Below are 17994 nucleotides of genomic sequence, written 5' to 3'. Positions count from 1 at the left end.
GCCAAGGTCCCCATGGAACAAACTGGACAAAGTGAGGGTGGCCACATGGCCTCTTTTCTTTTGCCTTTATTATTAATTTTCTCAAATAGATCTGACTAGTCATGTGGCTGGGAAAATAGTTAATTGTGATTTTTTTTTTTTTAAACTGAGTCTCACTCTATTGCCCAGGCTGGAGTGCAGTGGTATGATCTCAGCTCGCCGCAACCTCTGCCTCCCGGGATCAAGCAATTGTCATGCCTCAGCCTCCCGGGTAGCTGGGATTATGGGCACACAGCACCACGCCTGGCTAATTTTTGTATTTTTAGTAGAGACATGGTTTTAGCATGTTGGCCAGGCTGGTCTTGAACTCCTGACCTCAAGTGATCCACCCACCTCAGCCTTCCAATCTGCTGGGATTACAGGCATGAGCCACTGCACCCAGCCAGAGTACCACTATTTGGGCATTCTTTAATGAAAAAGAATGAACTATCCAAAAATTAAAACTCCTCATTTATGAGCTTTTAGAGAATTTTACAGAGTAGATGGAAACTCTCTGCATCCTTTCCCCACTTCTAGTTTCACCTGACACATTTCTTCCCTGTCCTTACTCCTGGGCCGGCAGCAGTGGTCATGATTCCAATCCCAGCTTGGCCACCATCTGCCTCAGTGGCCTAGGAAAACTCCTTTCTCCAGAGCTTTAGTTTTCTCTTCTACGGAATGAAGAAAGTTAAAACAAATAGACATTTATTGTTTCATTTGGATAAATATCTATTAAGCATCTATTACTTGTGGTATGGTTAGCTGGGTATATAGTGGTGAAGCAGCTGGGCATGAGTACTGCTTTCGTAGAGCTTACAGTTCAGTGAGGCCAGCAGATGTGAAACATATCATCACACAAATAAAAATATAACTATCAACTGTGATGAGGATTATGAAGGAAAAAATCCGGCAAACTATGGTACTGGTGTTAGATACTAGCAGGTGTGGGTAGGGATTTCATTTAGATTGACAGGTTGTCACATTAAAGCTGAGAGCCCTGAAGTTCAAGCAATGGTTAGCCAGGCAAAGATCAGAGGCTTAGAGATAGGGAAATCCATTCCAGGCAGAGAGACTGGGGGTGCCTGTCCCCTAGGTCAGGGAACAGAAGAAAGCCAGTGGCACTGGTGGAGTGAATAAGACTGGCGGGGGATGAGTTGGTAGTAGACATGACCAGATCATTTAGGGCCAATTCTCCTGGGGAAGGAGAATTTAATTTAATATTTATTTATTTATTTATTTATTTATTTATTTATTTATTTATTTATTTTTCAAGACGGAGTCTAGTTCTGTCGCCCAGGCTGGAGTGCAGTGGAGCAATCTCGGCTCACTGCAACTTTTGCCTCCTGGTTTCAAGCGATTCTCCTGCCTCAGCCTCCTAGTAGCTGGGATTACAGACGCCCACCACCATGCCCAGCTAATTTTTGTATTTTTATAGAGATGCGGTTTCACCATATTGGCCAGGCTGGTCTGAAACTCCTGACCTTGTGATCCTCCTACCTCGGCTTCCCAAAGTGCTGGGATTACAGGCGTGACCCACAGTGCCCCCTGAGAATTTAATTTTATTTTATGTGCAAGAGGATTCCCTGAGGTAGTCAGGCCACATTGTCTGGTGACTCTTGGGATAGAGGGAACTTGAATGACAAAGGCCCAAGAAAGCAATTGTAATCATTACATATACATGGACCATTTTATGCTGTTTTCTTCTTTCATTTAACATTATTTAGTGTGCGTGTTCACATATTTCTAAATCATCTTCTGATTTAGAATAATGATTTCTGATGTGTAGGCTGTGTTTTATAGTTTTGAAAGTAATACTTTGATATCCATTACTTTCTTGATTCTCACAGCAATTCTGAGGTGTATGCGTTGCAATTTCTGTTTCACAGATGAAGAGAGTATTGTTAATAAGTTAATGGCCGGGCATGGTGGCTCACACCTATAATTCCAGCACTTTGGGAGACCAAGGTGGGCGGATCACTTGAGGCCAGGAATTTGAGACCAGCCTGGTCAATGTGGTGACACCCATCTCTACTAAAAATACAAAAATTAGCCAGGCGTGGTAGCACTTGCCTGTAATCCCAGCTATTTGGGAGGGTGAGGCAGGAGAATTTGCTTGAACCTGGCAGGTGGAAGTTGCAGTGAGCCAAGATTGCACCACTGTACTCCTGCCTGGGTGACAGAGCGAGACTCTGTCTCAAAAAATAAAAAGTTGCTAAGAGGAGGGCTGGGATCTTTTGGCTCCAAATCTACTGTGGGATGATGCCTTTGACATTCCTGATAGCTGTGCAGTAATCCATTAACACAGTTTTTATAAGTTCAAACCCTGTTGCCAACATTTAGATTGTTCCATGTGTGCTGTTACAAATAAATTACTATAAAGATTCTATACATTTAATCTTTTATTATTTTTGTATTATTTCTGTAGGCCAAAATCTGAGGAACAGGATTACTAGGTTGAAGGGAAATGGCCCTTGAAGTGTCTGATCAGATGTCTTTCCAGAGGATCCAACCAATTTAAATAGCCACCATCAATGCATGAGACTTTGTAGTTCAGGGAAGGCAGGCCTGGTTTTAAAAATCATTTCCCCTCTCTAGCATTTTTCTGATGTGATCCTTAAGATTTCACTTTAGTTTTCCCAGGTCTCATTGGCATGTATGCTGTTAGGGATGGGTCTAAAATTAATTTTTCTTCACATTCATATCATGTCATCCCAGTGATTATTTAATAAATAATCACTTGATTAAATAGTGATTCCTTTTCTAGTTATTTTTGGGACATTTATTAAAACCTGGATATGGTGGCTCATGCCTGTATTCCCAGCACTTTGGGAGGCTGAGGTGGGGGGATTGCTTGAGACTAGGAGTTCAACACCAGCCTGGGCAGCATAGCAAGACTCCATCTCTATAAAAATAAGGAAATTAGTCAGGCATGGTGGTACTTGCCTGGAGTCCCAGCTACTTGGAAGGCTGAGGTAGGAGAATTGCTTGAGTCCAGGTGGTCAAGGCTGCAGTGAGCTATGACCATACTACTGTACTCCAGCCTGGGCAACAGAGTGAAACTCTGTCTGAAAAAAAAAAAAAAAAAAAAAAAAAAAAAAAAAAAAAGATGTGTAGGGAGCAATTTTGGAGTTATTCATTTGGTCATTTGATATGTAGTTTTAGTTTTGGTGCTGATAGAGCCCAGAATGTACCCTGAATTTGATGAACATTCTGATATATGGGGGAGCTCATTGTCCCCCACTTACCTTTTTGCCTCTCAGAATATCTTTTGATATTTTTATCTGTTTTTTCCCCATTGAATGTTATTACCTTATCAAGCTCAAAAAAGTACCCTATCGCTATTTTAAGTTCAGTTGTGTTAAATCTATAAATTAGCTTGGGAAATTTGGATATTAAATGAACTCATGAAGAAGCAGAGTTTAGCTCTCCTTAATTCTCATCTTCCTTTATTTATCCTACTACAGTTCTGTGGTTTTCTTTTATGTAAGAAGCACATGTTTGGCTAAGTTAATGCCTAGGTTTTTTTGTTTATGTGTCCATTCTCACTGTGGATAGTATTCTCTTTTCCCCACATTATATTAATTTAACTGGTTTTCAGAGACTAATAGCAATGCTATTATTTAGGAGAATTTACCTTGGTTCTGATTAACTTACCCATACTTGCAAATCATTTGCAGCTTTTTAGTTAACTTTGTGAGTTCTCTTAGATTTACGACCATGCCAGAAACAGAAAGGATATTTTCATCTCTTCCTTTCTGATGTTTATTCTTCTTGTTTCCTTTTTTTATCCCCCATTATATTCTCAAGAATCTCTCAATACTAAGAAATAGCGACTTCATTTTTCAGCGCGGAGTGCATTATTTTGGCTACCATGATTCAGAAGCCTCTTGCCTAAGGCCCAATTTTATTCTGCTAGTTTTCTCTGTTCTTTGTACATGGCCCTTGCGCTGCCCTAACCTTGAATTAACGTGGCTAAATCTCAAGAATTTAAGAGCACCGTGACTGTGTCCTCAGGCTAGGGAGGGAAATGGGTTCACAGAGTGACTGGATTGTGGTCTATGAACTTCGGCAGCCAGCAGCAAAAGTCAGGCATGAATAATCAAGTGGACAGTGAACATCTGTAGTGTGGGAGATGTTGGCATAACTATGAATGATGATTCAAGAGTGGTTTGATGCATATTGAATAACATGATGATAAGTACTAGACTCTGTGCTAAGCCTTCTATGTGAAATACATTTAATTCTCATAATAACTCTAGAGCAGTGGTTCTCGACCGGGGCCGGTTATCCCCCTACCCCACCCCACCCTCACCCTTCCACCAGGGACATAACATCTGGAGATATTTTTGGTTGTCACAATCCTGGGAATGTATGTGCTGATATTTAGAGGTTGAGGTCAGGGATGCTGCTGAACTTCGTAGAATTCATAGGAGAGTCTCTCACAACACCTATCTGGCCCCAAATGTCAGTAGGGTCACTATCAAGAAAATCTGCTCTAGCAGTGCCTGCTCATATTATCCCCATGTTGAAATAGCAAGATGGGAAGTGCAAAGTGGTGCTTCGGTACTCTTGGAGCAGCTTTGACTTTGGTGAGAAACGCCTTTTAAAAACAATGTTTCTTCCCATCTTCCCACCCCATGGGGAGGTGTGGGGTTGGGTGGGTAGGCACCAAAGCAAGATTTAGAAGAGTTTTCTGTAGGAATTTATAATGGTAAAGGATCAACTTCATTTCCAAGCTATTTATGAGGGTTTATGTTTAGGAAAAGTGCTAAGCTTAGAGAAGGAGGAGAAATCTGATTTTATTAATGAGTGTAGCCATAATGGCATATCCTGGCAGAAGTCAACTTTGGTTTCTAGAGGGAGGCTATTATGAAAAGAAATACCTGGAACATTCCCCTGGGTTTGGAAGGTGAGTTCTAGGTTCAATGATGGGAAGAATTTTAGAGGTCCAAGATAAAAGGGCAAAGATTAAATTTTGTCTCTCATGAGTTCTCTGGCTCAGGTGGTGTGAACTTTGCAGACAGTCTCTTTAATTCACTCATACATGCTAGTCTCCCAGCTCAGCAAGGGCTTTGAGAGAGCAGGTGTCTGTATGCTCTGGTAAGTGAAGGCAAAGTGCATAAGGAGGTTGGGGTCCATAATGGCGAAGAGAAGGAGCCCTTCAGTCAGAGTGGCTTTGAATCTTGGCTCTGCCATTTGCCAATCTTGGACCATTGGGCAGTGTATTAACTCTTTGAATCTCAGCTTCCTCTTCTGTAAAATGTGTATAACAAGAGTACTAATTGGATTGTTTGATGATTAAATGAGTTAATGTGTATAAAGCACTCACAACCCTGGTACATAGTAAGACCTTTCATTATTATTATCATCATCAATTTTTTTTAACCTCTTTTCCTGATCTGCTTACACTCACCAGCTTCAGCTGCTCCAAATGGCTTGTAAGATTTTTTGTTTGCCCTTTGCTGTCAGTTGCCATGGGGAAGATCCATTCATTTTTTTCAGTCAACCAACATATTTTGAGCATCTGCTGCCCTACAGGATCCTAGATATGGGGGCTGCAGAGATATCCAGGAACATAAGCCTTGATTAATTGGGTCAGATCAGTGCTCAGCAGGGCTGGCAAGTGCTAGGTTTCTTTTAAGTGGCATATCTTAAAAGGTATATGTCCTAAACATAGCTTTGTGATGGCAGCATGATGGGTACAAAAGCACACACTTAAGTGTCAGTAGATCTGGGTTCAAACATTGGTGCAGTTTCTTATGGCTCGTAACTTGTTCAAACCTCAGTTTCTTCACTTCTAAAACGGTAATGATACAACCTACCTCACAGGGTTATTATGAATTAAATACTGGAGATGAGATACACAAAACGTCTTGAGTACACAGTAGCTGCCCAATATTGGCTGTAAGTATTATAAATCTACAAGCTGTGAATTAATTTTACCTCTCTGGATCCTGTTGATATTTCTAGACCATTCCACCTAGTGGGGCCATTTCCTACCTGAGTCACCCGTGGTGTCAAATAGAATGTCATGTGGCCTCCTGAGTTGGGTAGAATTGGCTGCTCATCTCAACCCCGCTACTGACTATCTCTGTGATTTACCCTTCCTCCAGCCTTAGCCTTGCTACATATAAAATCAAGACAATAATGTTTCCTATCTCACAGGGTTGTCCTGAGGATTAAATTAAGTAATTAATATAAAATGTGCCTTGTACATATTGGGCCCTAAATAAACAGTAGCTACTATTTATCCTTAAAGTACAAATGGTAGTTTCAGAGCTTCAAGGCTGATGGCTATTTATCTTACTCATACTCTTTGTTTAGCTTCATTTTTTTCCCCTAATTTCATTAGTATTTTCTTTTCTTTTTTTTTTTTTTTTTTTTTTTTTTTTTTTGAGGTGAAGTCTCACTCTGTTGCCCAGGCTGGAGTGCAATGGAGCGATCTTGGCTCACCCCAACCTCTGTCTCCTGGGTTCAAACAGTTCTCCTGCCTCAGCCTCCCGAGTAGCTGGGATTACAGGCTCCCGCCACCATGCCCAGCTATTTTTTTGTATTTTCAGTAGAGATGGGGTTTCACCCTTTTGACCAGGCTGGTCTTGAACTCCTGACCTCATGATCAACCCACCTCAGCCTCCCAAAGTGCTGGGATTACAGGTGTGAGCCACCACGCCCGGCCTCATAAGTATTTTCTAAATTTATTTACAGTCATGCCATTTAAAAGGAAAGTTGTATTCCTGTCTTTGTTAATATTTATAAGTGATTTTATTCAGCTACAAGCTTGGAATGGCATATAATTTTGTATTCTGCTTTTTTCACTTAATATTACATGGCTAATGATTTCTGTGTTTCATAAACATTATTCTGATGATGGCATGATATATTGTTGAGTACATGTACCATAATTGAATCATTTCCCTATTGCTATGCAATTAAGTTGTTTCCAATATTTTGCAATTATAATGTTTCAATGAATGAATAACTTTATGCATATAGCTTTTTGATATCTTAAGTTCAGTTTCCTAGGATGAATTTCCAGGAATAGTAATTGGGCAAATGGGATAAACATGACTCTTGAATACGTATTGTTAACATTGCTTTCCCAAAGGGCTCAACTGATTTATATTTCCGTGTTCATTATCTTTTAAACCAGCTCATTTACTCACCAAACATTTTTAAAGCCATTATCATGTGGTAGGCTTAGTAAGAAGAAAGTGACCCTAAGGGAGAAGCTTATATATAAATAGGGTCCCTGGTGTACCAAGTGCTGATACAGACACAAAGTACCTGGGGAAATTGAGATGAGGGAGTCCTGGCTCAGCTGGGAGAAAAGTTCATTTTCATAGAGTCATGGTTTTGTTCTTTGGCAGAAAGAAAATTGCTTTCTTCCCCACCCCCACCCCCAGCTTTATTGAGGTATAATTGACAAATAAAAATTGTATATCTTTAAGATATGCAATGTGATATATATGTATATCTCAACTTAAAAAATAAGCTACAGAATAAAAAGGTGTTTGCTATTAAAAAAAAAGAAAAGGCTGAATGTCATTCCCAAGCTTGGAAATTTGAGTATGTTGCCTCTTTGGGATTATTTACAGAAATATTAGCAAGACCAGCCCCATCTTTGGTCTTGAGTACTCCACTGTCAGCATGCTTTCTTCCAGAGAGGGATCCATTTGCCTTTATTTTTCATTCTGTTGTGCCGTCTATGCAAACTATTCTTGATAGTTTTATGGTAACAGTGTTTTTTTGTTCCATGAGATAATTTATACATGCTCATTGTGGAAAATTTAGAAAAGACAGGAAAGTATTAAAAACATCACTTTTTTTTTTTTTTTTTTTTTTTTTTTTTTAAGAGACAGAGTCTTGCTCTGTCGCCCAGGCCGGAGTGCAGTGGCGTGATCTCAGCTCACAGCAACCTCCGCTTCCCAGGTTTAAGTGATTCTCCTGCCTCAGCCTCCCAAGTAGCTGGGAGTACAGGCATGCACCACCACGCCCGGCTAATTTTGTATTTTTAGTAGAGATGGGGTTTCACCATGTTGGCCAGGCTGGTCTCAAACTCCTGACCTCAGGTGATCCGCCTGCCTTGGCCTCGCAAAGTTCTGGGATTATAGGCAGGAGCCACTGCGCCAGCCACACCTACGTTCTTATCATCCTAGTACATCCACTGTCATTATCTTGCTGTATTTCCTTCTGCCCAGTCTCACTCTGATCATGCAGTGGCGTGATCATGCAGTGATCTCGGCTCACTGCAACCTAGGCCTTCTGGGTTCGAGTGATTCTCCTGCCTTAGCCTCCTGGGTTCAAGTGATTCTCTTGCCTTGGCCTCCCAAGTAGCTGGGATTACAGGCATACACCCCCATGCCCATCTAATTTTTGTATTTTTAGTAGACACAGCGTTTCACTAAAATTTTGTATTTTTAGTAGAGATGGGGTTTCACCATGTTGGCCAGGCTGGTCTCCAACTCCTGACCTCAGGTGATCCGCCTGCCTTGGCCTCACAAAGTGATTACAGGCATGAGCCACTGCATCCATCGCCAAAAAGATTTTTTAAAAGAGTTTAATGTAGAACCATATCAAAGGTCTTTGGAAATAAAAAACAGTTTTTTAAAAATATCAGAAATAAAACAACAAATAAATAAATAAATAAAAACACCCAAAACAATCTGAAGCACGAGCACCTAGCAGAAAGGTTCAATTATGATCTATTCATAGAGTGGAATATCAAGTAGACATTACAGGACATGTTTTAAGATTATATTTTATGTCATGGGAAATGCTCTCCCAGTATGATGTTAAATGAAAAAACAGAATACAAAAGTATATATGCTGCATAGTCTCAATATTGTAGAGAAAAAATATTATTTATGTATGCATGAAAAAAGACAAAAGATGTTAACAGAGATCCATTGTTACTTCAGTTTACTAGGGATTGTCTCTGGGAGGTAGGATTAAGGTGATTTATATTTACCTTTTTAAACTTTTCTGTATTTTTTTATTTTCAAATTTTCCATAAAAATATAAGGACTTGAAGATCAAGAAAAAATTTCTGCTTTGGCTCAGTGCAGTGGCTCACGCCTGTAATCCCAGCAGTTTGGGAGCCCTAGGGGAGAGGATCACTTGAACCCAAGAGTTTGACGTTCCAGTGAGCTATGATCTCCGGATCGTACCGCCTGGACGATGGAGCAAGACCCTGTCTCAAAAAAAAAAATCTTTGCTTTTTTTTTTTGTTTGTTTTTGAGACGGAGTCTCTCTCTGTTGCCCCAGCTGGAGTACAGTGGCACAATCTCAGCTCACCGCAACCTCTGCCTCCTGGGTTCAAGCGATTCTCTTGCCTCAGCCTCCCAAGTACCTGGGATTCCATGCACCCACCACTATGCCCAGCTACTTTTTTGTATTTTCAGTAGAGACAGGGTTTCACCATGTTGGCCAGGCTGGTCTCGAATTCCTGACCTCAGCTGATCCACCGGCCTTGGCCTCCCAAAGTGCTGGGATTACAGGCATGAGCCACTGTGCCCAGCCCAATCTTTTGCTTTTTTTAAAAAAAGAAGACAAAAAGGGATTTTATACCAGTATTATCTTGGCTGTGTGACTCTGAAGCCACAGTTGTAAGTTATAATTACTCTGAAACACAAGGCCCTGTGACTCTTTTGGGCTCTTTGGTGTTTATCTTGATTACAACGTTGGAATATAGAAATGAAAGGAATGGGAGAGGTGATAGACTTCAGGCAGTGTAACTAGTTGTCTGAACACTACTGGCTCAATTATATTGTGTCTAGTGATTTCCATCTTGTCCGTCTGCTAATTTATCGCCTGGTAACTCACTGAGGCAGGGTTTTCCTTTGGAGAAACCTCATTGTTTTAACCAGTGTATCATGCTTGTTTAGAAGTTCAATGATCTTTTTAACTCATCGGAGAAGATGATGACCAGACCTGGACAGATGGGGAAGGACTTTGCACTCTCTCTTTACAGTCCTGAGTGCACACAGGTCAATATGGAACTATGTGTGAATTTTCATTGTCTTTGAGAGCCCTCTTCTCTGCCCCATAGGGAGCAGCTTTGTGTGCAATTAGAGGAGCAAGGGTTGTGTGTATTTAGCACAGCAGGTTGGCCTGGTCCTCTCCTCTCAACATAGTCACCACATACCTGGCACTATGCTAAGGCTGGGAATGCAGACAGATGGGTGCCTGCTTTCAGAGTGCTCAATGTGCTGAGGAAGCCAGCAACAGAAACAGATGATTTCAGGAGCTCCAGGAAAATGCTACAGGAGGAGTGTGCCTGGGTTACTGGAGTAGCACAGGAGGAGGGCTTCTAGCTCAGGCTGAGATTTTAGTAAAGGAAATTATGCCACGATGAATCCTGAAGAATGAATAGAAGTGAACCAGATAAAGCACGATAGGAAGCATCTTCCCTTACCTAAGGGAAGACACAGAGGTATATGGAATGGTATGTTAAAAGGTTGGGACTCCAAACAGTTCTGTTAAAGCTTAGAGAGTGGTGGGAGAGACTGGAGAAGTTGATTAATTAGTAAATGAAGTTGTCTGTGGATTTCCCAGATCCCAGTGGCATTGGATATCCATATTATTTTTAAATTTACAGTGTTCTATCTTATTTCCCACTCAGTGTCAGCTGCTGCTGGAAGTGGCCTGGCCTCTATTTATCTTCCTGATCCTGATCTCTGTTCGGCTGAGCTACCCACCCTATGAACAACATGAATGTAAGTAACTGTGGATGTTGCCTGAGACTCACCAATGGCAGGGAAAATCCAGGCAATTAACGTGGGCTAAATTGGACTTTTCCAAAGATGCTGTCTTTGGGAAACATCACACATGCTTTGGATCAGAAAACCTAGGCTTCTAATTTGTTGATAAGGCATGAACTCAGGAGACTGTTTTCAGTCCTAGTGAATGGTGATAATTGTAATTATAACAGTAGACAACATCTCTTTTACACATTTTAAATCATGAAAATAGAATAACCTTACTGATAATTTTAGAAAGTGGTGATTAAAAGCACATTTAAGATAATGCCTTAACACCTAGTCTTTTCCATATGCATGATGTCTTAATCACACATTGCAAATCATGGAACACAGAATTTTAAGCAGCATTTGTGTAGAACTTCTCAGTTTTACTAATATTATTTTATTTTATTCTCATAACAACCTTGAATAGAACTCAGATCATCTGTCAATCATGTATTTTGATAACAGCCTTTACAGTGAGCATAGAAAATACAGTAGTGGCTAACAACACAGGCTCCAGATGTCAGGTTATCTGGGTATGAATTCTGGTGTCAGCATTCACTAAGCATATGACCTTGGACAAGTGATTTAAGTTTCTTTTAAACAGAGAATAGTAATACCTACCTCATATTATTATTGTCAGTGTATCATCTTACAATCACAGTCTTTCTCTTAGGGCTGGGCTCAGTGGGTGGATTGACACTGCAGAAATGGCCAGATCTAAAGGATCAACATTTACGTAGCTGGGAAATGTAGCTGGGACTTCAGTTTCACTGCCCTAGTGATTTTTCCTACCACTAAGCAGCTCAGTCCATACCCCTACGAGACCCACAAGCTTATGAGATACTGTTCTTCCAGGAAAGCAGTGGGGCCAGGGCCACCTTTTAATTGTGTTTCTTGGCCTGGTCCCATCTTTCTCACAATATATAGCAACAGTTATTTACTTGCTGATTTTCTAATGCACATCACACATAGTCATATTAAACACACACACACACACACACACACACACACACCCCTCAAGAAACATTTTCTGAGACGTGATTTCCTGATTTCATCAAAAAAGAAAAGAGCGGGCCAGGCACAGTGGGAAGTCAAGGTGGGTGGATCACTTGAGGTCAGGAGTTTGAAACCAGCCTGGCCAACACGGTGGAACCTCGTCTCTACTAAAAATACAAAAATTAGCCAGGCGTGGTGGCGCACACCTGTAATCCCAGCTACTGGGGAGGCTGAGGCAGGAGAATTGCTTCAACCTGCGAGGCTGAGGTTGCAGTGAGCCGAGATTGCGCCATTGCACTCCAGCCTGGGCAACAGAGTGAGACTCTGTCTCAAAAAAAAAAAAAAAAAAAAAAGCATAAACTGAAATTTATATGCAATTTATATGCCTGTGAGATAATTCTGTTTTCTCTTTTGGAACCCCAAAGAGATTTTTTTGATTGATGAGCAAATACATTTTAGATTTTATTTAAGCATTATGCCAAGCACCACTGAAGTATAAGTTTCAAGGGCAAACTCAGTTTTTTCATCTACTAGACGAATGATTTTCTGGAATGATTACAAGCAGGCAAGATGGTGTAGTGGAAATAGCAAATGTCTTCGGCATCAGACAAGTTGGGGTTTGTTTGTATCCTGCCTCTGCCCTTCACCGAGGTTGTGATCTTGGGCAGATTGTTGAGTTTTAACCTAGATTCCTCTGACTCCAGATCATAAATTTTCAGAAAAGTTCTGAAATTCTTGTATATACTGATGGTAAATGAGACTTTTCCTTACATCTATGCACTTCTTTGTTTGTTTGTTTTGAGATGGTCTTGCTCTGTTGCCCAGACTGGAGTGCAGTAGTGCAATCTCCGCTCACTACAATGTCTGCCTCCCAGGTTCCAGTGAGCCTCCTGCCTCAGCCTCCCAAATAGCTGAGACTACAGGCATGTGCCACCACGTCCGGCTAATTTTTGTATTTTTAGTAGAGACAGGGTTTTGCCATGTTGACCACACTGGTCTCGAACTCCTGGCCTCAGGTGATTCGCCCGCCTCAGCCTCCCAAAGTGCTGGGATTACAGGCATGAGCCACCATGCCCGGCCATATCCATGCACTTCTTGCAACCTTACCTTCTTTTCTCATCACCCTCCAGGGACCTAGTTGGAAGAGCAGAGTTAAAAGTTAAGGTGAAACTTGGAGAGGTGTCTTGTCCCTAGGAACAAAGGACTGGTTTGAAATTCTCTGTAAATCTTCCCCAGTTCAAACCAGAGTTATCAAGGTCTTAAAAACTTCCCTGGGTCCTGAGAGCCCATTATATTATTTACTTGTCTTCCTGTACACCCACTGCCTAGTCCTGATCCTACTTTTGTTTGCAAATAGGATGGGGCACAACGTACAAGGAAGGGCCTTTGCCACCCCTGCTAAGGGATAACCTGAAATACCTTCACCATCACTGCCCTGTGCTGCTTTTCACCTATGCCAGTCTGTCTACAGTGCCAGTGTCTCCTGGCATTGAAAGGGGAGAATCTTTTGGTCCTTTGAGTATTTGGTTGGGTTACATAAATCTCCCTGAATGAAGAGCAGCTGACTTAGGCAAGGGGCCTTGTTTGGTTTTCCTTGAACTATTAACAGGAAGATAGGGAGATTAACTGTGTAAATGTTCAATAGGCCAGAGTCCCTGCAGAGGGTGGCCACAGTGATCAGATCTTATCACATCCTTGCTTTGGGTGTTGCCTCTCTGGTTGGAGTATGGATAGAAAAGAAAGAAAGACCCTATATTGAAATGCAAAGTGCAGCAAGTCCTGACTTTGGATTAACTTCTCAGCCCATTTGCATGAAAATAAAAAGATGAATAAAACAAGGTTCCCACTTTGGAGGGAGGTGGTAGCTGTGAGATGGAAGGAGTGTTCCTGCTGGGCAACAGCAGAGTAAGTGCTGGGGTAGATTCACTCCCACAGTGCCTGGAAAATCCTCATAGGCTCATTTGTTGAGTCTTTGTCCTACACCAGGCACTCTGCAAAAACGCTTTGCCTGCAAGGTCTCATGCGATGCTCACCACAGCTCTGTGAAGTTAATTGTACTTTTATCACCATTTTACAGATGAGAAAACTGAGGGTATGGGGTCAATGACTTGGCTAAAGTCACTGCTTAGCAAGCTGCAGGGACTGGATGTGAATTCCAATTGGTTTGACTCCAAAGCCTGTGAAGCTACTTGTTCTTCACCACCTAGAGCTGTGGTTCTTGATAACTGTGAACTCTTTTGGGGTCACAAATAGCCCTGAGAATATGATAGAAGCAGGAGCTCTGGCCTTTCTGTCCATACCTGAACAGGTCCTTGGGTTAAGAGCCCCTCGTCCAGGGCCTATTAATCTTGATCCTCATAAGCAGCATCCATGTATTACGGCCGCAAACCAAACTGTGCCAGACCGAATCCTAGGACCAAGCCCAAATATGTCCCATCATCCTTTTGGTAAGAAGCTCATTGTAAGAAAGAAAGAGGAGAGCAAGAGGATGACCTAGTGCATGGGGCCTCATTGTTTTAATTAGTGACAAAACAACAATAATAACAACAAAACCCCCGAAGCTTCACAGATGACATCAGACCCCAAGCCTGTGTGTTTTTCAGGTGCCCTTGAGGAGCTTTGTAGCTGGCAGAGGAGGTGAAACTGACAAATGTTTGGCAGATGGAGGAGAGTACCAGAGGGGTTTGAGATGAGCTAAATTCCAATCTAACCGCAGGTGTGAGGAAGAGGCTTGGATTGGGACCATGGAGATGGGGGTTCTACTCCCAGTCACGCCAGCTGACTTTGCGAGTGTTCTTTGTCAGTCACTTTATCTTATTTTATTTATTTTTATTTTTTTGAAATGGAGTTTCGCTCTTGTCGCCCAGGCTGGAGTGAAATGGCGCGATCTTGGCTCACTGCAACCTCCCCCTCCTGAGTTCAAGCGATTCTCCTGCCTCAGCCTCCAGAGTACCTGGGATTACAGGCGCCTGCCACCAAGCCCATCGAATTTTTGTATGCTTAGTAGAGACAGGGTTTCGCCATGTTGGCCAGGGTGGTCTTGAACTCCTGACCTCAGGTGATCCGCCCACCTTGGCCTCCCAAAGTGCTGGGATTACAGGCGCGAGCCACTGTGCCCAGCCCACTTCATCTTACCGTAGTTACCTCCTTAGAGTATGAAAAAATAGGCTTAGGGCATCCCCAAGTCCCCTCTATGTCTGAGAGCTGAGGCTGGCTGTCAAAGAGGAACTAAGGATGCCAGGGACTTTCTGCTTAGGACCCCTCTCATCACTTCTCCAACGCTGGTATCATGAACCCCATTCTACAGATGATGTCCACTAGATTAAGAATGGCATGTGAGGCCAAGTTTCCACCTGAGAGTCAGTTTTATTCAGAAGAGACAGGTCTCTGGGATGTGGGGAATGGGACGGACAGACTTGGCATGAAGCATTGTATAAATGGAGCCTCAAAATCGCTTCAGGGAATTAATGTTTCTCCCTGTGTTTTTCTACTCCTCGATTTCAACAGGCCATTTTCCAAATAAAGCCATGCCCTCTGCAGGAACACTTCCTTGGGTTCAGGGGATTATCTGTAATGCCAACAACCCCTGTTTCCGTTACCCGACTCCTGGGGAGGCTCCCGGAGTTGTTGGAAACTTTAACAAATCCATGTAAGTATCAGATCAGGTTTTCTTTCCAAACTTGTCAGTTAATCCTTTTCCTTCCTTTCTTGTCCTCTGGAGAATTTTGAATGGCTGGATTTAAGTGAAGTTGTTTTTGTAAATGCTTGTGTGATAGAGTCTGCAGAATGAGGGAAGGGAGAATTTTGGAGAATTTGGGGTATTTGGGGTATCCATCACCTCGAGTATTTATCATTTCTGTATGTTGTGAACATTTCAAGTCCTGTCTGCTAGCTATTTTGGAATATACTATATGTTGTTAATGATATCATGCAGCAGACGTGCATCTGAATGGGCTGGCTCTAGGAGCTAGAGGGTAGGGGCTGGCACAAAGATGCATGCTGGAAGGGTCCTTGCCCATAAGAAGCTGACAGCCAAGGCTAGGGGAGTTCTGTCTTCTCTGCATCAGGTCACCTCTCTCACCTCTGTCACTGCCCCATCAGACTACAATGTCTGCAGGTCTTTCTCCCCTGAGTGTGAGCTCCCTGAGCAAAGCAGGATGCTGCCCCTTCCCTTTGTATTCCTGGCTCCTGGCTTCAGTGCCTGGACATAAGTATGGGCATAATAAGTGTCCCCCAAATGAGACATTGAGGATTCTTCAAATGCACAGGACCGTGATGTGAGTTAGGACGGAGTAAGGACGATGGGATGTGGCTCAGGACAATCCTGAGGAAGCTGCAGCTGCGGCACGCAGGGCCACACTGTCATGTTCATGGACCCTAGACTGGCTTTGTAGCCTCCATGGGCCCCTTCCATACACAAATATTAAAAATTATATTTCATGACTGCATTGGTATAAAGATGAATATAATCCAGACCAGATTCATGATTATTCATACATTTTTAGTGTATTAACTTTTAATTCTGCTTTTAAAATAAATTAAAACATTCTAATATGCCCTTAAGAGTATCCCAGGCCCAGGCCACTGAGCCTACTGTGGTTCATGGATAAGTTGGCCCTGGGGGCATGTGTGTGCATGCATGTGTGTGCACATGCATGATGAGCCGGGCCTTGAAGGGTGGTAAGATTTGGGTGTGTAGACCAATGGAGAAAGGCATTTGGGGCAGTGATGATGGGTGGGGGAGGGAACATGGTGATGAATGGAGCTGGGTGTGGGGAGCCATGGGAGTGGGTTAGGGCCAGCCTGTGGAGGACCTGGGAGCCAGGCTGAGTTCTATGCACTTGGCAGTCACTTCTGTAAAGCAGCAGAGGCAGTTGGCCTAGCTAAAGCCTTTCGCCTTTTCTTGCACCCTTTACAGTGTGGCTCGCCTGTTCTCAGATGCTCGGAGGCTTCTTTTATACAGCCAGAAAGACACCAGCATGAAGGACATGCGCAAAGTTCTGAGAACATTACAGCAGATCAAGAAATCCAGCTCAAGTAAGTAAAAACCTTCTCTGCATCCGTTTATAATTGGAAATTGACCTGCACCAGGGAAAGAGAGTAGCCCAGGTGTCTGGGGCTTGTTCCCATTAGATCTTCCCCAAGGGGTTTTTCTCCTTGGTGGCTGGCCTGTGGGGCCCCTCTCCAGGAGGCATTGGTGAAGAAACTAGGGGAGCTGGTTGCCACAGACAGTGATGTACTAATCTTCTCTGGGAAGACAGAAGAAAAGTCCCCAGGGAAGAATACTACAGACTTGGCCTTAGGGACAGCTAGGGGTGCAGATTGCTGCCAACTGCATTTTTTCTGAAGTTGGCCATATGGTTGCAGTGAATGGATTTATAGACAGAGTATTTCTGTGCATATAAGAGCAATTACAGTTGTAAGTTGATATGGATAAGTGAAAGTTAAGCACTTCTTTCTAAAAAGAGAATGCAATTCATTTTCCCCTAATCATTTCAATTAGTCTGATGGGCATTTGAACTTGTTGTCTTTAAAAAGTGAAATCTTTACCTCTGATCTGGTAAGTATCCAGGCAATTTCTTGTGTGCCACCCAGGAGGTATCTGGGGAGTGGGCATTTTCTGACTGAGGCATTGGCTGCCATAGCATCAGAGCAGCCTTCCAGGCAGTGGCCTGGCAAGGGGACAGAGGCTGGTGGGAGCAGCTGGCTGAGTGCAGCCAGTAATGGCATGTGCATGGTCTGTAGAGAATGTAGAAGCAATAATGAAGCCGATAAAAGCTGGTCTGCATTTTATTATTATCATGCGCCGGTGGTTCTAAACAATGTCAGTGATAAATTACTCCTCCCCATCATGGACCAATGGCTGCCACTGCTCCAGGGAAGTGCTTTTTATTCCGTTTGGTGTTTAGGGAGGGATGGAGTTGGCTGGCCTTTGCTGAAAGGCCTACCAGTTTGTTTTCTATTTGGCAAAAGAAGAAATGATAAAGTTCTAGAGTTTAAACCAGACTCAGATTTGAGTTTTTTTTTTTTTTTTTTTTTTTTTTTTTAAGGCTACAGAACTGTGCTTTCCTTGGGCAGTAAAAGAGGCAATGGGCAATGTGGGACCTGATGACAAAGGGAAGCAAAGCTGTCTTAGGGGTGGCATGGAGGAGGTGCTGCTTCACAGCAGAGAGAGGTATGGCTGTGCTTGGAGTGTCCACTTAGACAACTCCTGGCTGTGCAGCCAGGCCATCGA

General features: G+C 42.7%; 1 protein-coding gene across 1 annotated transcript in view, besides 4 other annotated features; it reads left to right on the top strand.

Moving 5' to 3' along the window:
- ABCA1 (ATP binding cassette subfamily A member 1) overlaps nucleotides 1–17994 on the top strand; it is a 147150-nt gene that overhangs the window by 28321 nt on the left and 100835 nt on the right. The window contains exons 3-5 of the mRNA NM_005502.4: nucleotides 10640–10733; nucleotides 15267–15408; nucleotides 16678–16796. Of these exons, the coding sequence (NP_005493.2) occupies nucleotides 10640–10733; nucleotides 15267–15408; nucleotides 16678–16796 (355 nt within the window). The remainder of the gene's footprint in view (nucleotides 1–10639; nucleotides 10734–15266; nucleotides 15409–16677; nucleotides 16797–17994) is intronic.
- Nucleotides 11185–11910: an enhancer, noted in NCBI's record as "H3K27ac hESC enhancer chr9:107650206-107650931 (GRCh37/hg19 assembly coordinates)". NCBI's record gives its function as "activates a minimal SCP1, AML or CMV promoter by ChIP-STARR-seq in primed H9 embryonic stem cells {active_cell/tissue: H9 hESC(primed)}" and the evidence as "EXISTENCE:reporter gene assay evidence [ECO:0000049][PMID:30033119]".
- Nucleotides 11911–12637: an enhancer, noted in NCBI's record as "H3K27ac-H3K4me1 hESC enhancer chr9:107649479-107650205 (GRCh37/hg19 assembly coordinates)". NCBI's record gives its function as "activates a minimal SCP1, AML or CMV promoter by ChIP-STARR-seq in primed H9 embryonic stem cells {active_cell/tissue: H9 hESC(primed)}" and the evidence as "EXISTENCE:reporter gene assay evidence [ECO:0000049][PMID:30033119]".
- Nucleotides 12638–13363: an enhancer, noted in NCBI's record as "OCT4-NANOG-H3K27ac-H3K4me1 hESC enhancer chr9:107648753-107649478 (GRCh37/hg19 assembly coordinates)". NCBI's record gives its function as "activates a minimal SCP1, AML or CMV promoter by ChIP-STARR-seq in primed H9 embryonic stem cells {active_cell/tissue: H9 hESC(primed)}" and the evidence as "EXISTENCE:reporter gene assay evidence [ECO:0000049][PMID:30033119]".
- Nucleotides 13364–14090: an enhancer, noted in NCBI's record as "OCT4-NANOG-H3K27ac hESC enhancer chr9:107648026-107648752 (GRCh37/hg19 assembly coordinates)". NCBI's record gives its function as "activates a minimal SCP1, AML or CMV promoter by ChIP-STARR-seq in primed H9 embryonic stem cells {active_cell/tissue: H9 hESC(primed)}" and the evidence as "EXISTENCE:reporter gene assay evidence [ECO:0000049][PMID:30033119]".

The sequence above is a fragment of the Homo sapiens genome, chromosome 9 (assembly GCF_000001405.40).
Source record: "Homo sapiens chromosome 9, GRCh38.p14 Primary Assembly".
Lineage (NCBI taxonomy): Eukaryota > Metazoa > Chordata > Mammalia > Primates > Hominidae > Homo > Homo sapiens.
The sequence above is the reverse complement of the archived record's forward strand: the minus strand, read 5'-3'. Positions and strand labels throughout refer to the sequence as shown.